The following is a 21,299-nucleotide window of genomic DNA, read 5'->3' as shown; positions in this document are numbered from 1 at the left end:
TTCGTGCTTGTTCAGTTGAGACCATTGGCCAATCCAGTCTTCTATTCTCTTACTTCAAACACCCCTCACTGCCTGTTGGAGATAAATCCTTTTTCTTCCCTTGCCTGTGAAAATTGCCCTGGTGGATTCATAGGTGTGGGGTTTCACTAGGCAGAAAAACAAGGAGGAAGGGCCCTTTTCCAAGATTCCACCACCCTCCTTTCCTTTCACTGCTATTTTGCATTAACATATACATGGTGTGCATGCCTTTCAAGAGCTGAACAGATGCTGGTTCTTGCATTTTGTGCAGTGCCAGGGAAGGATGGGTGTTCCATTTTCCATGTTACCCTACTGCCTGGGGCCACTCCATGCTGATGCTGGTGCTGATCATCTGTCTCTTGGGGTGTTGATGGTGGTGGAAACCTGTTCTTCTGGACCAGAATGTGCTTACCTTTTCCCTTCAGAATGAATACTGAAACTACCTCTTTGCAGTAATCAAATTCAACTGATTAATAATCTGTAAATTCCCCATGTAAGAAGCAAGCCATCTTGAAGTTGGGTGTGACTCCTATCATGGCTGTGATACACCCAGGTCCAGAGGGAGATAATTTTCCCCTCCCCACACTCTGGACCCACAGCAACTTCCTCACCCACTTCAGTTCAACTCTGTCACTGATGCCCCTGAGAGTATTTTTTATTTGACTGTTGCTCCTTTGGTTGGTTAATGACTATGTCATCATCGAAGTCCCCAAGCTTGTCTTGATTAGCCTCCTTTCCTCAGGGAAATTGAGAAGAATGAGAGAGCCAGTGATTTAAGGGGATTTGGAGGGAAGGAAAGAGGCTAAGGAGATGAAAGAATAAAGGAGGAAAAGATATGATCTCAAGAAGAGAAGGAGAATGAAGAGAGAGGCAGTTAAATCTGGGGATGTGGGACAGTAGACTTACTTCTTGGGCTGAATAGAAGGCACATTTTGGGGGAAGTTTAAACTTGTTCCCTTTACTTGCCCAGGAACCCATGGTGTGGCTTCACTGTGTGATTTGAAAGGGTGAAATGCAGGGTTATGTATGATCAGAATGACTAACACACATATAGCCAGGTGTGTTCTAGAGACCTTCAAGGAAATTGGCATTGAAGGTGGAGGCTGGAGGCATTTTTGCTTCACTCACCCCTGCTCAGGGCCATTTGTTAAGGCATTCAAACCCTTCCAGATGCTCCCCAGGGATTCTCCTGGGTTCTAGAGAGTCCCCTGCATGGGACTGGGCAAGAAGGAGGTAACCCAACGGAGATGGGTCTCTTCCACGTATCGGCACTGCATGCTCCAGTGCTCTGCTGTACCACTGACAAGACCAGTTCAGGCTGCGTGATTCCGTGGAAAGATAAGGACTTTCAAGGCCAACTCCCTGGTAGCAGGCATAGCCACTAATCAGTTAGTGTGACTGTGAACAAGTTTCCTCAGTGGTAAAATGGGATTAGTCACCCCCACCAGATAGGTTTCTGATGAGTATTAAATAAGATAATATATGTCATATGTAGGTCATGTTGTACATGCCTGAAAGGTAGTAGAGCTTATTCAGTCTTCATCCGCCCTTCCTGGCCCTCCCACTACTCTGCCCTCTCCCCAACCCAGGTTTTATGCTACTCTTCTAAATTGGAGATGGCAATACCTGGAAAAGAAGGAGAAAGGAGGAAAGTATGTATTAACATAACTCACACCTCCCTCCACATTAAACATTCAAACATTTATTGATCTTTTTATCAAACTATGTGAAGGAATGGAAGATTAAAAAGAAAGGAAATCCTTTCTCATTTAAGAGTAGAAATGGAGCTCTAGTAGTCAAAACGACCCTCAAGTTAAAAGAGTCCCTAAATTGTTCAGAATCAGCTACTGAGATTTGGTAACAGCAAACCACATGGTCTTTCCTCTGGTATATGATTAGGACAGAAACCTTCTTGTTGGGCCAATGACTGCGCAGGTTTTGATGACATGAGGAATACAATAAGTTGGCCATTGTATGAAAGGGAGGCAGCAGGACCTGAGCTTGTGCCCTTGTCACTTTCTGTATGAGGCCAGGAGGGTGGAGCTTGATGACATCTCCTAACAATACCCACATGCACATCTCTGTCATCCTTAAATCACTGAGTCTTGGACTTCAGGGTCTCCTTGTGCCGGTCCACAAGGGAACCAACCCACTCCACCGTTTTCTGCTTGGCTTCCTCCCAGCTGTAGAGTGGCTTATACGCCAGATCTCGCTGAGCCTTCTTATAAGAGAAGGTGAATACGCTATTTGACAATGTGACTATGTGGCGGTTGAAGGGCGGTCGATAGGTGTAAATTGGCCTGAGTAGGAAGCTCACTATTTCCAGCAGGAAGCCAATCCAATACATCAGGGATAAAGGAAAGCTCCATCTGGAATCAAGGCGGAGGCCGAACTCTTTGCTCAGGGTGTAATTAAGGTTATCATAGCTTTGGTGAGGCGTGTCATCTGAGATATAGTAGAACTGTCCTCGGATGCTTGGGGCCTTCTTGGGGTCCTGCAGGGCCCTCAAGGCCAGAATGTGGGCCCAGGCCACATTGCCAACATAGACTGGGTTAACAGTGGAGAACTTTCCAACACTTGACAGGATCCCATTGTTGTTCAGGGCCTCGTTTATACTAGCAGAAAGGAATCGGCTTCCTTCCCCATAGATATACATGGGTCGTAAGGCACAAGTGTACAGGGTGCCGCCGTTTTTCAGATTCCACCCGTTAGCCGCCAGTACAGCCTTCTCAGCAAGCTTTTTGCTGTGTGGGTATGGAGCGGGCCATGTGTTTTCCAGAGGCTCTTCTTCATGGCCATTCTGGATGATTTCCTTGTAGGAGTTGGGCCCGGCTACCTCTATGCTACTGGTGTAGATGAAGACTGGCACACTAGCTTGGACACAGGCCTCTAACAGGAGCTGGGTACCTGTCCATGAAGAGCATATTGTCACTGTCAGGATATATCCCTAAGAGGTGCCAACCACGAACACAGATCTATGTGCCCCACCCCCCACTCCCAAATATGGTGGTTGTAACAGACTCAGGGTACATTCTTCTGTGGTTCTGTCTGAGATTTGGTCGTACTACAGCCATAAGAAAAATACCAAAATGAAGAGAAACTGACATGTGGGTTCTGGAGAGTAAGAATTTCTAGACTTTTGGGTTTCATGGATGTGTGTGTGTGTGTACTTTAATTTTGGAAAGGGACCTAGGGTTATCACTTTTTATTTTGCCAAGTAAGGGTATTGACAAATTATGATTTGTAATCAGTACCATTAAAGTCAGATCATTTAAAATCTAAAAAATCAGGAGGCTATACTCTGTGAATATGGACAGTTCCAGTCCTTAGGCAAAATGGGCAGTTGAAGAATTCACATCACACACACACATACACCATTGTATATAGGCAATATAAACTCTTCAATATATATGAAATTGTTGGTACTTTTCTCATTTTGCTGGGCTCTAATAAAACTTTGTCACAAGGACCATCCTGGAGTCACTGAGCAAGCAGTGGGTTGTGGGGAGATGCTGGAAACCCACACTCTTCCTGATTGTGCATTCCCTGGGAAAGCTGCTTCCAATTCTGGCTGTGACTCTGTTTACCTGGTTATGTAAAGTGGAGGTGATAAACCTTCTTTTAAACCCTGCCCTGGCATTTCCTGTGGAGCCTGGTGGAGGGCTGGGGAGAGAAGTGTGTCCTCTGCTGGTAACACCTGCAGTGGGAGGACCTTGCAGCCTCCCCTGAGCTGTGTAGAAGCAAAGCTCATGGAGGTACCCATAGTGCCTTCCCTTGAAGAAGGAAGGAATTTCCTAGGGAAAGGATCATTTTTATTTACAAATTTTTGTATTCTTAGCCCTTTTAATGTCTCTGTGCAATTTGAGTTTCTGGAAAGACAGCCTCATGTGTTCAAAAATTAATCTTGTGGCAGAGAAAATTTGGAGTTAGTTTACCTTCAAGGGGGAAATGACCAACATTGTGAAGTATTTTCTAAGCTTGGGAGTTATAATGGTTTTAGCAAACAGATGCCTCTAACACTTCCCCTGTCATTTCATATCCCCTCCTTTTGGGAGCTGTTGAAGTAGTAATTAAAACTGGTTACTCTTAGCACCCTCCTTGCACAGCAGGGGTACTTAGAAGTATGGGTAAGTAGAAACTGGAAGTTGTTTTTTTTTTTCTTTTATGGTGCTGGAGACTCAAAAGCAATTGGTTGCTTTGGAAAAAGAGTCAGAGTAGACTAAATGCGGAGGGCCAGGCCGGGGTTTGGGGTGCTATGGTGCTGAAGAGACTGGACTCTGGAGATCAGAGGGTGAGATTTCTGAGAAGATTCCTTAAGGAAATGTGTCTGAATTTAAGGTAGTTGGAAAGCCATACTTTGAAAGGAAACGCCAAGCATTTAAGGGATGAAGATTAAATGAGGGTGCACTTTGGGCACCTGGCTGAAAACGGCTCTGGAATAGTAGGCCCTGTGGTGAGCTGAAGAGACTGTATTCTTGATACTGGAAAAATCTCACTGTTAAAAAAATATTGTGGGAAGGCATGTGCTGGATAATTCTGTCCTGACAGACCTTGTGAACCAGCTTTGCTAGTTCTCTCGAGAGGACTTTTTGTTTGAGGTGGGCAGGAGGGCTCTGAATGTTTTCATCAGCCTACACACAAGGTTCAAAATGGTGACTACAGTGGCACCTGCAAGGTCTGCTTCTGGCCTGGGAGGCAAGGGGTGTCTGGGTATCAAGAGTCTGAAGTCAGAAATTAGTTGACTTTTGATTGGAACCACAGTAGAAAGAGCTTTTGGAGTCACAGTAGAAAGAGCCTTTGGAGTCACACAGGGATGAGTTTAAAGTCTAACTCTCCTACCTGCTTACTTACCTGGGGGACCTTGGACAAGTTACTTGCCCTCTCTCAGTCCTAGTTTTATCATCTAAAAAACTAAAGTTAGCAGTCTTGAACTCTCCTATTCGTAGTGATCAGCAAAGGCACTTGGCCCAGAGCACAGCAGGTGTTCAGTGGAGGGACTTCTCTTCCCTTCCTGCCCTTCTTTGTGATCCTTAATTCCCCACCTTGCTGCATCTCCTCCCCAGCCTACCATACCTTTCACATTGACATTCATGATAGACTCTCTGTGAGTGACACCGAAGACATCAATGATACAGGCGGTGTGGATGATGACCGAGACGTCCTGGCAGGCTCTCTTCAGGAATGGCTCATCCAGAATGTCTCCTTCCAGCACTGTCAGCTTGGTCTTGTTCTGGAGTTCTGTGTGAACACAGGTCAGGTCATTGGAATGATTTCTGTATCTGGCTGAGAAGTTTTCTGATAAAGGTGATGTTACATAGGTGTTCAAGGATGGTTAGAGTAGGGTGTTAGAGTGGAGGGTGTACATTCTACGGAAAGAACAAGTAAAAAAGGCACAGAAATCAGCATGTGTATCAATTTCTTGGAAAGAGCAAACATCTGTTTCTCTCCCATCTCATTTTAGAAAAGTAATCTGAGCAGTGAGCTGTCAGGTATGCCTGGAATATAAGCATTGCTAGAGTCATGGGAAGCCCATCAAATTTTCTAAGGAGAGTAGTGTGATTGTAGAGAGTATGAGGGAAAAGTTTGAAGTTAATTCTGTAAGTAATGAGAAATCATGTATAGAATCATAATTTTGGGACTCCAGCATCATGTTAAAGAAAACCCCTTATTTATATTTGGAATAAAATGACAAAAAGGCCAAGCCCCGTGGCTCATGCCTGTTATTCCAGCACTTTGGGAGGCTGTGATGGATGGATCACTGGAGCGCAGGAGGTTGAGACCAGCTTGGACAACATGGGGAAATCCCATTTCTATTAAAATACATGAAATAGCTGGGCATGGTGGCATGTGCCTGCCTGCAGTCCCAGCTACTCTGCAGACTGAGGTGGGAGGATAAATGGAGGCTGGGGTCTCTGGTTCCTGGCAGTGAGCCAAGATCACACCTCTGCACTCTAGCCTGGGTGGTAGAGCAAGACCACCTTGTCTCAAAAAAAAAAAAAAAAAAAAAAAAAAAAAAAAAAAAAGAAAACCACACAAGCAACAACAAAAAAAGGAACAAAAGCAGGGTTGTGGTGTAGGAAGTTAATCTTGGCTTGAGGATATAAAATGGACTGGTATAGGGGATTTGAGAAAGACTGATGATCAAGTGATTAATCAGAATGTCTGTGCCAAAGTTTCGATGAGGACTGGAAGCAGGGTCCAGCAGTGGAAGCAGAGGAGGGGAGAGATATACCAGGTTTGAATTTCAGACCTTACCTTGAAGGTCCTGGTACCTATTGGATCTGAGCTGATAGGAAAAGGAGAAGATAAAATCACCCCTACAGTTTCCTGCTTGGGCAACTGGGAGGAGAGTGGAGTCATTACTCAGGAATTGTGGGTGGGCTTCAATGATGAATTTCCCTGGAAAACTATTATCAGATATCATCAAAAGCAGGTAGCAATGCTGAAAATGAGTTAACCACCAATGAACTAACATCGCAGCTGTCTAGCTGGAGGCAGTGGTTACAACATCAATGTCTTCAGGTTCCTCTGAAATCCACAGGAAGTGACGCTGCCAGTAAGGTTGTCACCTGGAATTAGCCCACAAAATGAACACCATGCTACATGGAGCTTGGATAAATACTCTACACTTGTTTGTGCTTTATCATCTGTATGCAACTTACAGGATATTTATTTCTTTTTACAGCTATCTCATGAGGTAGGTATTCTGAGTCCCACTTTATCAGTGAGGAAACTGAGTCTCAGAGAGGTTAAGGGACAGATCTAAGGTCACGTTTCTAGTGAAGGCTTAAACACGCCCACCCTGCCTCCAAGCTTGTACCCTGTACACCAGGTGCAGGACTGGCTGTTTAATATCAACTTTTCTGTTGTTTAATATCATTCTTTTCCAAAGAATAAGCCAGTTTAACTGAAATTGGCAACAAAGACCAAAGACCAGTGAGAGCAAAATTCAGAGTGAAAAATTCGAAGCTGGAGAAATTCCTTCCTGGGGTACAAGCAGGACCACTTGCTCTCCTGATGCCTCTGCCATGTTTTGTCTACTCCCAACCTCTTCCCGTTGTCAGGCAACTCCAAGAAGGTCCTGGAGTGGGGGAGTCAGGGAAGAGGCTGCTGGTGGTGATGTGGGTAACAGCCTGAGAGTGGGATGTTCTCTGGTTCTAGTTCCACCTCTGCCCTTCCTGCTGCCTTCCTCTGCTTCTTCTTTGCTGCCACTTCAGACAGACTGGCTCAAAGGAGTGTCAAAGTGGAAGAAGTCCAAAGCTGAGAGAAAAGGACTCTTCCCCAGTGAGTTCCCAGGGATCTAGAGGGACTAGGAAAAGGTACTTTGTTGATGAAGTCATGGCTCCCTTCTTCTCCAAGGCACTGTAGACTTGGCAAGTGTTTTATGTAGACTAAATGGAGTTGCTTTTATGGTGTAAGTTGGGCTAGAGGAAGGCCTAAAGGAGCTGTAAGACAAACTACTGCTTAAGAGCACAGATGCTGCACTAGTCTGTCTGGGTTCAAATCTAGCTTTGCCATATGCTAACTGTGGGACCTTCAAAAAGTTAACTAACCTCTCTGTTTCTATCTCCTCATCTTTAAAAAAGGAGGATAATATTACCGATCTCATAGGGTTGTTATGAGGAGCAAATGAGTTGGCAAACCTTTGGCCAAGTGCCTGGCACAAAAAGAACACTGAATGCTTTCTCTGTTTTTATCTTCATACAGATCCCTGCCTGTCTATTATATGATCTGCATTTTTACCATAGGGGAACAATACCTCTAGGCTGAGCATTGCTTTTTTCTGGCTTCAGATGTTAAATTGCAAATATTGCTGAGACACAGGCAAGGATTATAAGCATTTCATATTTGTTTATCAAAGACAACATTAAAACAGAGGGTGGAAGAAATCGAACATTTCAAGAGGTCAGAGAAGAGCAAAAGTAGAGTGTTGGGTGTGGTCCCTGAGTGCTGTCAAGTGGGGGATTCTCTGTGGGCAGGGCAGGACCCTCTGGGCAGCCAGAGCCCACATGTAGACACACAGTCCCCCAAATCCCCTGGGTTGGGGAGGAGGACAGGGAATTGTTTTGGGGCACACCAAGGAGCAAAGGGAGAGACTGAAGATCCACTTTGCCAAGCATCAGCTCTGGGGCCAGGTGAAATAGCCTATGGATAAAGCTCTGGTCTGAGCTCTGCTACGCATCAATCAGATGGCCTTAGCATGTTGCTTTGTGATTCCGGACCTTGATGCGTTCATTGTCCTGTTGGATGTGATGCCTTTTCTACCTGCCTCTTGGGGCCATTTGTACAAGGAGTTGCCACAGAAAATTCTGCAGTCAATTTCTTTTTGATGATGAGCAACAGAGGTAAATGTTTTGTTTTTTTTTTTTTAAAAAAAAGCCATATATGCAAAATCTAAATGAGGCATGTCTGGCCTTATACTGCCTCTTACTCTGTCTCTGCTCTGTGCTGTGCACTGTGCACACACATTCTCTCACTGATGCTCTCTCTCTCACTATATATTTTTCATTATTTCTCTGTCTTTCTCATTGTCTCTCTCTCTGAGTCTCTCTCCCCGACTCTCTCTCCCCGACTCTCTCTCCCCCTTATTGTTTTCCTCTCTCTCTGTCACACACACCCACTTATACACTCATCTTTACCTTAACTTCCTTTTATTTTGCCCTCACAAAGGATACTAAGGAAGCTGCAAAACAAAACACAGCCTGGCACGTTCTAGAGAGACAATGACCCATTGGTGAGGTCTCCAGGGTAATAGTGTCCTTTATGAATGTTGTACAGCAATTGCCAAGACAAAAGCTTCAGAACATAAAAGAGTTGCAGACAAGACAAAGAACTGATGTGGGATTTTCTAGATGAGAAGAAAAGAGGCCTGGAGGCTGAGGTGGCTGCTTCTCAAGTTCTGGGTCAGGGCCAGAATCTAGTCTCTGGAAATCCCACCCAGTATCTTTCATACTATGCCATTTTATACTATTTAATATTTATTTCTTGATGACTTTGGATGTGAGATTGGCTTAGATTTGGCTACAAATTTCAATAACTTGCTAGACAAGGTCCATCTCCCCCCACATACATGCAGTGTTTAAGATGGAACCACACACCCATGACCCAAGTTTACTTACTAGAAAATTCCTCTCTCAATTCTGGTCCGAAGGCCTTGTCCAAGACCCTGATCTCCTTCAGCTCCTTCTCCTTCACCAAGAGGCGGATGATCCTCTGTCCCAGAAACCCTCCTGCTCCTGTCACAAGGCAGCTCCAGCCCGTCATGGCCATCCAAAGTAGCAGGAATCACTCACCAGGAAACAGAAGATGCTGGGGAGCAGATCTGATTCTAGGGTGACCCTGGAGAGGGCTAAAAAGAGATGTCAAATGGTTATATACTCACACAGATGCCTCATTTTCCTCCACCCCATTTTTTTTGCAAACATTCTGTGTCCCCACCACTGCAGGAGTAGCTGAAAGAAAATGAAAAATCTCTAACCATTAGTTAGATTGTTAAAAGCTGGACAGAAGAGTGGACGTACTTCTCACCTCATTTCCTGTGGCAAGTCTGAAGCTTTATGCACTGTGGCTTCTGGCCCAACCCTTATCACTTTGATCTCTGGCCATGTACTCATTGCTCTCTCCTCCTATGGGATCCTTATCTCAGAAAAATAGTGACCTTTGGGTTACATCTCTAATTCTTCCCAGGAACAGGAAGAGAAGTCCCATCCTAATGCTGCAGTGTGGCAAAGAGTCTTGGGTTTAGCCTTAACAGGACACTAGTCAGTTGATACCAGCTGTCTGGGATCCACAATCTGTGAACTTAAACTAGACCAGGAGAAATCTGCAAGTGCAATTTGAATTGTGCCCTTGTTCAGTAAATCCATCTGGAGGGAAATCCATGTAAGCCCATTATCTCCTCTCTCAGACTATCATTTGAAATGTTGCTGCTGTCTTACAAAATTTAGAAATTTGCAATGGTGACAGCTCCAATCACTTAGTTTTATGTGAGGTGACTTTCTTTCCTACCCAATATATCTGAAACCTCAATGGTCATTTGCCCCTGGAGAGCCCTGGGTTCCTAGATGAACAACATCATTGAAGGAAAGCTATCTGGTGATAACCACTTAATGATATGGCCTGTATCACAAGAGTGGGGATTTGTGGTTGTATGCCCCAATGACTCTTATCATAGGTGTTCGAACTTATCCATATTTTTGGCTGCAAAACGATTCTCAGCAAATTCTTGAACTGGACATACTGTGAATGCTTCTGAAGCCTATGCCCCAGAACTGCCCAAATATCACCGCCATAAGCTTCCCAAGACACTTTACTCAAAAAAATTGAAATATAATTTACATGCATTAAAATGCCCAGGTCTTCAGTGTTCAGTTCAGTGGAACTTGACAGTTATATATGCCCATGTAAGTAGCACCCCAAAAAAGATATAGACCATTTCCGTCACTCCAGAAAGTTGTTTTCTGCCTGTTCCCTGTTAATTCCCTGACCTTCCCCCAATCTACCTCATAGGCAACTACTTCCTGATTTTTATTCCCACAGTTCTCATTTTATTTCTATATTTCTCTAATTTTTTCTTCTAAGATCTCTGTGGTTCTGGATATATATTTAAATATAAAATTATTTTGAAATGAAGTTTTGTGCAGGGAGTACAGAAAAATTGACCGTTGATTGTCTCTGTTGTTTATTTTTCTATTTCATGATTTTCATTATTTTTATTATTGGCTTACATTTATTAATTTTGTTTTTTTTTTTCACTCGTTTTTCACATTTTTTTTTTTTTTTTTTGAGATGGAGTCTTGCTCTGTCACCCAGGCTGAAGTGCAGGGGCACCATCTCAGCTCACTGCAACCTCTGCCTCCCGGGTTCAAGCAATTCTCCCACCTCAGCCTCCGAAGTAGCTGGGATTACAGGTGCCCGCCACTGCACCGGGCTAATTTTTGTATTTTCAGTAGAGGTGGGGTTTCATCATGTTGACCAGCTGGTATCAAACTCCTGACTTTGTGATCTGCACGCCTCAGCCTCCCAAAGTGCTGGGATTACAGGCGTGAGCCACTGCACCCAGCCCCGTTTTTCAGGATCCTGATAATAAAAGCATAGAAAATTGTTTTTCTTTACTCCTTTCCTATTTCCACTATAGGCATTAAAAGTTGTAAATTTCTCTTTAAGCACTGTGTGAGCTGTACCCAACATTTTGATGTATTGGGTTATCATCATTCAGTTAATAATATTTAAAGTTTTGTCTTGTGGTTTCTTCTCTGACCCAAGTGTTATTCAGAAGTGTGTTGCTTGTTTTCTAAAAGTGAGGATTTTCTAGATATCTCATTGTTATGGATTTCTAATTAAATACTACTGTGGCCAGAGCATATGCACTGTATGATTTTGATTCTTGAATATTTAGTGAGATTTGTTTTATGGTCCAGCATATGGTCTACATTGGTGAACATGCCATAAGCACTTGAAAAGAATGCTTTCTGCAGTTGTTGAAAGTAATACTCTACAAATGATTTAGTTTGACACCCCACTCTGGGTCTTGCCCTCCTCCATGTTGTAGACATTCATCTTCTACTTTGGACCTCACTACCAATGCTTCAAAACCACTTGCCTAGGAAAGGTTGGCCTTGTGCTACAAGATGTAGCAGCTTGTTCTCTGAAACTATCAGAACTATTTACAGGCCCTGGGTCTTGCTGAGACTTGTGGAGTACTATCTGAAACTACCCAGGTGCATCGCATGCCTTTGCCTGCTGTAGCAGTGCTGGAGAGCACCTTAAAGATCCCCCATCGCCTTCAGTGTGGGGCTGGACTTTCTTTCAGCTGTTGAACGTTCTGGAGGCTCGTAGATTTCAGCTCATGTGTCTTGGAGTCTCTGAGTGGAAGCAATAAATATAAGCCCTAAAGAAAGGGAGAAATAAAACAAAGGTCCAGAGTGATTGGGAACCATACTACCAACTTTCTTTTATTTTTAAATAGGTTTACTGAGGTATAATTGACATCACATTTGCTTGTTTTAAGTGTACAGTTCAATTATTTTTAGTAAAATTTTATACTTGTGTGGACCATCACTGTAATCCTGTTTTCCAACATTTCTATCATTCCTAAGAAATCCCTCGTGCTCATCAGTCACCATTCCTTACTCTTACTCACAGCTCAAGGCAACCTTTAATTGACTCACTGACTTTACAGATTTGCCTTTTCTAGACATTATATAAATGGAATCATAGAATATTTGGTCTTTGTATTTCTATTCTTTCACTTAGCTTAATATACTTTTTTTTTTTTTTGAGACAGAGTCTTGCTCTGTTGCCCAGGCTGGAGTGCAGTGGTGCGATGTTGGCTCACTTCAACCTCCACTTCCGGGTTCAAGTGATTCTCCTGCCTCAGCCTCCAGGCACCTGCCACCATGCCTGGGTAATTTTTGTATTTTTAGTAGAGGCGGGATTTCATCATGTTGGCCAGGCTGATCTAAACTTTTGACCCCAAATGATCCACCCACCTTGGCCTCCCAAAGTGCTGGGATTACAGGTGTGAGTCACCACACCTGGCCAGCTTAATGTTCTTTTGTGGTTCATCTATGTTGTAGCACGTATCAATATTTTACTCCTTTTAGGTGCCAAACCCTATTAAATTGTATGGATGGCTCCCATTTGTTTATTCATTCATCAATTGATCGATATTTGATGTGTTTCCACTTTATGGACTATTATGGATAAAGCTGCTATGAATATTCACATTCATGTGTTGTGTGGACATAGGTTTCTGTTTCTTTGGGGTAGACAGCTAGGAGTGAAAGTGCTAGATCATAAGGTAAATGTATATTTAACATTTTAAGGAACTGGCAATCTGTTTTCCAATGTGGCTGCATGTCCCATCAACACTGCAAGAGTAGTTCAATTTTTCACATCATTGTTTTTCACTTCTTTCAATTGTTTATTTATTTATTTATTTTATTATTATTATACTTTAAGTTTTAGGGTACATGTACACAATGTGCAGGTACATGTGACATGTTGATGTGCTACACCCATTAATTCGGCATTTAGCATTAGGTATATCTCCAAATGCTATCCCTCCCCCCTCCCCCCACCCCACAACTGTCCCCGGAGTGTGATGTTCCCCTTCCTGTGTCCATGTGTTCTCATTGTTCAATTCCCACCTATGAGTGAGAACATGCGGTGTTTGGTTTTTTGTCCTTGCAATAGTTTGCTGAGAATGATGGTTTCCAGCTTCATCCACGTCCCTACAAAGGACATGAACTCATCATTTTTTATGGCTGCATAGTATTCCATGGCGTATATGTGCCACATTTTCTTAATCCAGTCTATCATTGTTGGACATTTGGGTTGGTTCCAAGTCTTTGCTATTGTGAATAGTGCCACAATAAACATACGTGTGCATGTGTCTTTATAGCAGCATGATTTATAATCCTTTGGGTATATACCCAGTAATGGGATGGCTGGGTCAAATGGTATTTCCAGTTCTAGATCCCTGAGAAATCACCACACTGACTTCCACAATGGTTGAACTAGTTTACAGTCCCACCAACATTGTAAAAGTGTTCCTATTTCTCCACATCCTCTCCAGCACTTGTTGTTTCCTGACTTTTTAATGATTGCCATTCTAACTGGTGTGAGATGGTGTCTCATTGTGCTTTTGATTTGCATTTCTCTGATGGCCAGTGATGATGAGCATTTTTTCATGTGTTTTTTGGCTGCATAAATGTCTTCTTTTGAGAAGTGTCTGTTCATATCCTTTGCCCACTTTTTTATGGGGTTGTTTGTTTTTTTCTTGTAAATTTGTCTGGGTTCATTGTAGATTCTGGATATTAGCCCTTTGTCAGATGAGGAGGTTGTGAAAATTTTCTCCCATTTTGTAGGTTGCCTGTTCACTCTGATGGTAGTTTCTCCTGCTGTGCAGAAGCTCTTTAGTTTCAGTAGATCCCATTTGTCAATTCTGGCTTTTGTTGCCATTGCTTTTGGTGTTTTAGACATGAAGTCCTTGCCCATGCCTATGTCCTGAATGGTATTGCCTAAGTTTTCTTCTAGGGTTTTTATGGTTTTAGGTCTAACATGTAAGTCTTTAACCCATCTTGAATTAATTTTCATATAAGGTGTAAGGAAGGAATCCAGTTTCAGCTTTCTACACATGGCTAGCCAGTTTTCCCAGCACCATTTATTAAATAGGGAATCCTTTCCCCATTTCTTGTTTTTGTCAGGTTTGTCAAAGATCAGATAGTTGTAGATATGTGGCATTATTTCTGAGGTCTCTGTTCTGTTCCATTGATCTATATCTCTGTTTTGGTACCAGTACCATGCTGTTTTGGTTACTGTAGCCTTTTAGTATAGTTTGAAGTCAGGTAGCGTGTTGCCTCTGGCTGTGTTCTTTTGGCTTAGGATTGACTTGGCGATGCAGGCTCTTTTTTGTTTCCATATGAACTTTAAAGTAGTTTTTTCCAATTCTGTGAAAAAAGTCATTGGTAGCTTGATGGGGATGGCATTGAATCTATAAATTACCTTGGGCAGTATGGCCATTTTCAAGACATTGATTCTTCCTACCCATGAGCATGGAATGTTATTCCATTTGTTTGTATCCTCTTTTATTTCATTGAGCAGTGGTTTGTAGTTCTCCTTGAGGAGGTCCTTCACATCCCTTGTAAGTTGGATTCCTAGGTATTTTATTCTCTTTGAAGAAATTGTGAATGGGAGTTCACTCATGATTTGGCTCTCTGTTTGTCTGTTATTGGTGTTTAGGAATGCTTGTGATTTTTGCACATTGATTTTGTATCCTGAGACTTTGCTGAAGTTGCTTATCAGCTTAAGGAGATTTTGGGCTGAGACGATGGGGTTTTCTAGATATACAATCATGTCACCTGCAAAAAGGGACAATTAGACCTCCTCTTTTTCTATTTGAATACCCTTTATTTCCTTCTCCTGCTTAATTGCCCTGGCCAGCACTTCCAACACTATGTTGAATAGGAGTGGTGAGAGAGGGCATCCCTGTCCTGTGCCAGTTTTCAAAGGGAATGCTTCCAGTTTTTGCCCATTCAGTATGATATTGGCTGTGGGTTTGTCATAGATAACTCTTATTATTTTGAGATACGTCCCATCAATACCTAATTTATTGAGAGTTTTTAGCATGAAGAGTTGTTGAATTTTGTCAAAGGCCTTTTCTGCATCTATTGAGATAATCATGTGGTTTTTGTCTTTGGTTCTTTTTATACGTTGGATTACATTTATTGATTTAGCGTATGTTGAACCAGCCTTGCATCTCAGGGATGAAGCCCACTTGATCATGGTGGGTAAGCTTTTTTATGTGCTGCTGGATTCGGTTTGCCAGTATTTTATTGAGGATTTTTGCATTAATGTTCATCAAGGATATTGGTCTAAAATTCTCTTTTTTGGTTGTGTCTCTTCCCAGCTTTGGTATCAGGATGATGCTGACCTCATAAAATGAGTTAGGGAGGATTCCCTCTTTTTCTATTGATTGGAATAGTTTCAGAAGGAATGGTACCAGCTCCTCCTTCTACCTCTGGTAGAATTTGGCTGTGAATCCATCTGGTCCTGGACTCCTTTTGGTTGGTAAACTATTGATTATTGCCACAATTTCAGAGCCTGTTATTGGTCTATTCAGAGATTCAACTTCTTCCTGGTTTAGTCTTGGGAGGGTGTATGTGTTGAGGAATTTATCCATTTCTTCTAGATTTTCTAGTTTATTTGTGTAGAGGTGTTTATAGTATTCTCTGATGGTAGTTTGTATTTCTGTGGGATTGGTGGTGGTATCCCCTTTATCATTTTTTATTGCGTCTATTTGATTCTTCTCTCTTTTCTTCTTTATTAGTCTTGCTAGTGGTCTATCAATTTTGTTGATCTTTTCAAAAAACCAGCTCCTGGATTCATTAATTTTTTGAAGGGTTTTTTGATGTCTCTATGTCCTTCAGTTCTGCTCTGATTTTAGTTATTTCTTGCCTTCTGCTAGCTTTTGAATGTGTTTGCTCTTGCTTTTCTGGTTCTTTTAATTGTGATGTTAGGGTGTCAATTTCGGATCTTTCCTGCTTTCTCTTGTGGGCATTTAGTGCTATAAATTTCCCTCTACACGCTGCTTTGAATGTGTCCCAGAGATTCTGATATGTTGTGTCTTTGTTCTCGTTGGTTTCAAAAAACATCTTTATTTCTGCCTTCATTTTGTTATGTACCTAGTAGTCCTTCAGGAGCAGATTGTTCAGTTTCCATGTAGTTGAGCGGTTTTGAGTGAGTTTCTTAATCCTGAGTTCTAGTTTGATTGCACTGTGGTCTGAGAGACTATTTGTTATAATTTCTGTTGTTTCACATTTGCTGAGGAGTGCTTTACTTCCAAGTATGTGGTCAATTTTGGAATAGGTGTGGTGCGGTGCTGAAAAAAATGTATATTCTGTTGATTTGGGGTGGAGAGTTCTGTAGATGTCTATTAGGTCCACTTGATGCAGAGCTGAGTTCAATTCCTGGGTATCCTTGTTAAGTTTCTGTCTCGTTGATCTGTCTAATGTTGACAGTGTGGTGTTAAAGTCTCCCATTATTATTGTGTGGGAGTCTAAGTCTCTTTGTAGGTCACTAAGGACTTGCTTTATGAATCTGGGTGTTCCTGTATTGGGTCCATATTTATTTAGGATAGTTCTTCTTGTCTAATTGATCCCTTTACCATTATGTAATGTCCTTCTTTGTCTCTTTTGATCTTTGTTGGTTTAAAGTCGGTTTTATCAGAGACTAGGATTGCTACCCCTGCCTTTTTTTGTTTTCCATTTGCTTGGTAGATCTTCCTCCATCCCTTTATTTTGAGTCTATGTGTGTCTCTGCACATGAGATGGGTTTCCTGAATACAGCACACTGATGGGTCTTGACTCTTTATCCTATTTGCCAGTCTGTGTCTTTTAATTGGAGCATTTAGCCCATTTACATTTAAAGTTAATATTGTTATGTGTGAATATGGTCCTGAGATTATGATGTTAGCTGGTTATTTTGCTCATTAGTTGATGCAGTTTCTTCCTAGCCTTGATAGTCTTTACATTTTGGTATGTTTTTGCAGTGGCTGGTACCAGTTGTTCCTTTCCATGTTTAGTGCTTCCTTCAGGAGCTCTTTTAGGGCAGACCTGGTGGTGACAAAATCTCTCAGCATTTGCTTGTCTGTAAAATATTTTATTTCTCCTTCACTTAAGAAGCTTAGTTTGGCAGATATGAAATTCTGGGTTGAAAATTATTTTCTTTAAGAATGTTGAGTATTGGCCCCCACTCTCTTCTGGCTTGTAGAGTTTCTGCCGAGAGATGTGCTGTAAGTCTGATGGGATTCTCTTTGTGGGTAACCCGACCTTTCCCTCTGGCTGCCCTTAACATTTTTTCCTTGATTTCAACTTTGGTGAATCTGACAATTATGTGTCTTGGAGTTGCTCTTCTCAAGGAGTATCTTTGTGGCATTCTCTGTATTTCCTGAATCTGAATGTTGGCCTGCCTTGCTAAATTGGGGAAGTTCTCCTGGATAATATACTGCAGAGTGTTTTCCAACTTGGTTCCATTCTCCCCATCACTTTCAGGTACACCAATCAGACGTAGATTTGGTCTTTTCACATAGTCCCATATATCTTGGAGACTTTGTTTGTTTCTTTTTATTCTTTTTTCTCTAAACTTCCCTTCTCACTTCATTTCATTCATTTCATCTTCCATCACTGATACCCTTTCTTCCAGTTGATCACATCGGCTCCTGAGGCTTCTGCATTCTTCATGTAGTTCCTGAACCTTGGCTTTCAGCTCTGTCAGCCCCTTTAAGGACTTCTCTGCATTGGTTATTCTAGGTATCCATTCGTCTAATTTTTTTTCAAAGTTTTTAACTTCTTTGCCATTGGTTTGAATTTCCTCCTGTAGCTCGGAGTAATTTGATCATCTGAAGCCTTCTTCTCTCAACTCGTCAAAGTCATTCTCTGTCCAGCTTTGTTCCATTGCTGGTGAGGAGCTGCGTTCCTTTGGAGGAGGAGAGGTGCTCTTCTTTTTAGAGTTTCTAGTTTTTCTGCTCTGTTTTTTCCCCATCTTTGTGGTTTTATCTATTTTTGGTCTTTGATGATGGTGATGTACAGATGGGTTTTTGGTGTGGATGTCCTTTCTGTTTGTTAGTTTTCTTTCTAACAGACAGGACTGTCAGCTGCAGGTCTGTTGAAATTTGCTAGAGGTCCACTCCAGACCCTGTTTGCCTGGGTATCAGCAGCGGTGGCTGCAGAACAGCGGTGGCTGTAGAACAGTGGATACTGGTGAACGGAAAATGCTGCTGCCTGATCGTTCTGGAAGTTTTGTCTCAGAGGAGTACCCGGCCGTGAGAGGTGTCAGTCTGCCCCTAATGGGGGGTGCCTCCCAGTTAGGCTGCTCGGGGGTCAGAGACCCACTAGAGGAGGCAGTCTGCCCATTCTCAGATCTCTAGCTGTGTGCTGGGAGAACCACTACTCTCTTCAAAGCTGTCAGACAGGGACATTTAAGTCTGCAGAGGTTACTGCTATCTTTTTGTTTGTCTGTGCCCTGCCCCCAGAGGTGAAGCCTACAGAGGCAGGAAGGCCTCCTTGAGTTGTGGTGTGCTCCACCCAGTTCGAGCTTCCCAGCTTGTTTGTTTACCTAATCAAGCCTGGGCAATGGCAGGCGCCCCTCCCCCAGCCTCGCTGCCACCTTGCAGTTTGATCTCAGACTGCTGTGCTAGCAATCAGCGAGACTCTGTGGGTTTAGGACCCTCTAAGCCATGTGCAGGATATAATCTCCTGGTGTGCCATTTTTTAAGCCCATTGGAAAAGCACAGTATTAGTTAGGGTGGGAGTGACCCGATTTTCCAGGTGCTGTCTGTCACCCCTTTCTTTGACTAGGAAAGGGAACTCCCTGACCCCTTGTGCGCTTCCTGAGTGAGGCAATGCCTCTCCCTGCTTCGGCTCACGCACGGTGTGCTGCACCCACTGTCCTGCTGCCACTGTCTGGCACTCCCTAGTGAGATGAACCCTGTACCTCAGATGGAAATGCAGAAATCACCCATCTTCTGCATCACCCACGCTGGGAGCTGTAGACTGGAGCTGTTCCTATTCAGTCATCTTGGCTCCACCCCTCTTCCAATTGTTTTTGTCCTTCTGTTTTGTTATAGCATTCTAGTGGGTAAGAAGTGGTGTCACATTGTAGTTTTGATTTTCATTTCCCTGCTGACTGGTGATGCTGACTGTCTTTTCGTGTACTTTATTGGCCATTGTTACACATTTTTGGTTAAGTGACTATTCAAATATTGTGCTGATTTTAAAATTGAGTCATTTATCCTTGTGTTCTTTAGTTGTAATTGTATTTTATATTCTGGATAGAAGTCCTTTACCAAATATACGTTTTGATATTTTTTCTCATTCTGTGGCTTGTCTTTTCATTTTCTTATTGATGTCTTTTAAAGAGCAAATGTTTTTAGTTTTGATCATGTCTCATTTTTTTAACTTTTTTTGTTTAGCAGAAAAAGATTTTTTTCTTTATTTAAGGTCATGAACATGTTAATTTATGTTTTCTTCGAAGAAGTGTATGGTTTACGCCTGAAATTTAGGCCTATAACCCATTTTGAGAGAATATTTGCTTATGTGTGAGTTAATGGCCAAAATCATATGGCCAATTGATTTTGACAAAAGTAAATTCAATGAGGGAAAAGGATAGTCTTTTAAACAAGTGATACTGAGACAACTGAATTGTCCACATGCTCAGGGGATGTTAGCCTGCTATGTCAAGTGATGCCCATCTGAGTCACCACCTATTGGCATCAGAGTTAACAAAGAATAACTCAATATGATAATTATGGGTTAAATAATACGCTGTAGCTTTCTGCTTTTCCCGTTCAACAGATAGTCACATCTCATGCAGCGCCAGCTGCATCCCTGAGACACCATGGTGAAGGTGAAGCCTGGAGTCAATGGATTTGGCCATATTTAGGCTCCTGGTCACAAGGGCTGCTCTGAACTCTGGTAAAGTGGATATTGTGGCCATCAATGACCCCTTCATTGACCTTAACTTCATGCCCTACATGTTCCAGTATAATTCCACCCATGGCAAATTCCATGGCACTCCCAAGGCTGAGAACGGGAAGCTTGTCATCAATGGAAATTCCATCACCATCTTCTAGGAGCTAGATCTCACCAAAATCAAATATGGTAATGCTGGCACTGAGTACACCATGGAGTCCACTGGTGTCTTCACCACCATGGAGAAGGCTGGGGCTCACTTTCAGGGGTGAGCCACAAGGGTCATCATCTCTGCCCCCGCTGCTGACATCCCCACGTTTGTGATGGGTGTGAAGCATCAGAACTATGACAACAGCCTCAAGATCATCAGCAATACATCCTGTATCACCAACTGCTTAGCACTCCTGGCCAAGGTCATCCATGACAACTTTGTTGTTATGGGAAGACTCATGACCATAGTCCATGCCATCACTGCCACCCAGAAAACTGTGGATAGCTCCTTCAGGAAACTGGCATAATGGACATGGGGTTCTCCAGAACATCATCACTACATCTGCTGTCACTGCCAAGCCTAAGGGCAAAGTCATCCCTCAGCTGAACAGGAAGCTCAATGGCATGGCCTTCCGTGTCCCCACCACTAATGTGTTGGTCATGAATCTGACCTGCCATCAGAAAATACCTGCCAAATATGATGACATCAAGAAGGTGGTGAAGCAGAATTGGAAGGCTCCCTCAAGGGCATCCTGGGCTACAATGAGCACCAGGTTGTCTCCTCCAACTTTATCAGCATCATGCACTTTTCCACCTTCGATGCTGGGACTGGCATTGCCCTCAATGACCACTTTATCAAGCTCATTTCCTGGTATGACAATGAATTTGACTACAACAACAGGGTGGTGAACCTCATTGCCCACATGGCCTTCAAAGAATAAGACCTCTGGACCACCAGCCCCAGCGATAGTATGAGAGGAAAAGAGAGGCTTTAGCAAAATCTCTTTTCCATCGCCTACTTATTACTCTGTCTACCAATTATCTTGGAGGAGAGGTCAAATAGATGCCATTCAACCAAGAGTTCCAGAGGCTAACAGTAATGTTATGGTAGCCAGCCTCTAAGGTGACTCCAGTGATCTCAACCTCCTGATATTTGTACCCTTGTGTGTGGGTTGAACCTAGTAACTTGCTTTTAACTAGTATAATATAACAAAAATGATGGAATGCCACTATCATGATTAGGTTAGTAGGGATTGTGACTTTCAACTTGCTTTTACGGTTGCTCTTTCTCTTTGGCTTTGATGAAGCAAGTTGCCC

At 42.7% G+C, this 21,299-nt stretch overlaps 1 protein-coding gene and 1 pseudogene across 2 annotated transcripts, besides 12 other annotated features; one reads left to right on the top strand and one right to left on the bottom strand.

Moving 5' to 3' along the window:
* Positions 1,701-9,556, bottom strand: HSD3B1 (hydroxy-delta-5-steroid dehydrogenase, 3 beta- and steroid delta-isomerase 1). Of its 2 annotated transcripts, none has more exons than NM_001328615.1 (4): positions 9,547-9,556; positions 9,138-9,367; positions 5,092-5,256; positions 1,701-2,925 (listed from the first exon to the last, which is right to left on the bottom strand). In NM_001328615.1, the coding sequence occupies exons 2-4, from the start codon at positions 9,280-9,282 to the stop codon at positions 2,114-2,116; spliced, it is 1,122 nt and encodes a 373-aa protein (NP_001315544.1). In that variant the 5' UTR covers positions 9,283-9,367; positions 9,547-9,556; the 3' UTR covers positions 1,701-2,113. The 2 variants fall into 2 exon arrangements, with proteins under 2 accessions (NP_001315544.1, NP_000853.1); NM_000862.3 differs by having other exon boundaries at positions 1,705-2,925; positions 9,497-9,549.
* Positions 9,368-10,041: a promoter, noted in NCBI's record as "-492 to +182 promoter". NCBI's record gives the evidence for it as "EXISTENCE:reporter gene assay evidence [ECO:0000049][PMID:8584035]".
* Positions 9,368-12,430: a promoter, noted in NCBI's record as "-2880 to +182 promoter". NCBI's record gives the evidence for it as "EXISTENCE:reporter gene assay evidence [ECO:0000049][PMID:15131259]".
* Positions 9,402-9,424: a protein binding site, noted in NCBI's record as "+126 to +151 site". NCBI's record gives the evidence for it as "EXISTENCE:protein binding evidence [ECO:0000024][PMID:15291746]".
* Positions 9,422-9,445: an enhancer, noted in NCBI's record as "3betaI-A element". NCBI's record gives the evidence for it as "EXISTENCE:reporter gene assay evidence [ECO:0000049][PMID:8584035]".
* Positions 9,422-9,445: a protein binding site, noted in NCBI's record as "3betaI-A element". NCBI's record gives the evidence for it as "EXISTENCE:protein binding evidence [ECO:0000024][PMID:8584035]".
* Positions 9,422-9,445: a protein binding site, noted in NCBI's record as "3betaI-A element". NCBI's record gives the evidence for it as "EXISTENCE:protein binding evidence [ECO:0000024][PMID:15291746]".
* Positions 9,666-9,686: a protein binding site, noted in NCBI's record as "NBRE". NCBI's record gives the evidence for it as "EXISTENCE:protein binding evidence [ECO:0000024][PMID:25092869]".
* Positions 9,691-9,716: a protein binding site, noted in NCBI's record as "Stat6 #2 site". NCBI's record gives the evidence for it as "EXISTENCE:protein binding evidence [ECO:0000024][PMID:9892013]".
* Positions 10,382-10,407: a protein binding site, noted in NCBI's record as "Stat6 #1 site". NCBI's record gives the evidence for it as "EXISTENCE:protein binding evidence [ECO:0000024][PMID:9892013]".
* Positions 12,067-12,138: an enhancer, noted in NCBI's record as "HSD-En; -2670 to -2518 placental enhancer". NCBI's record gives its function as "enhancer in JEG-3 placental cells" and the evidence as "EXISTENCE:reporter gene assay evidence [ECO:0000049][PMID:15131259]".
* Positions 12,097-12,116: a protein binding site, noted in NCBI's record as "HSD-En". NCBI's record gives the evidence for it as "EXISTENCE:protein binding evidence [ECO:0000024][PMID:15131259]".
* Positions 12,097-12,116: a protein binding site, noted in NCBI's record as "HSD-En". NCBI's record gives the evidence for it as "EXISTENCE:protein binding evidence [ECO:0000024][PMID:15131259]".
* Positions 19,850-20,970, top strand: GAPDHP58 (glyceraldehyde 3 phosphate dehydrogenase pseudogene 58; annotated as a pseudogene).

This window comes from Homo sapiens, chromosome 1 (genome assembly GCF_000001405.40).
Source record: "Homo sapiens chromosome 1, GRCh38.p14 Primary Assembly".
Taxonomy (NCBI): Eukaryota; Metazoa; Chordata; class Mammalia; order Primates; family Hominidae; genus Homo; species Homo sapiens.
Note: the sequence above shows the minus strand (reverse complement) of the source record. Positions and strands in the feature narration are given on the sequence as shown.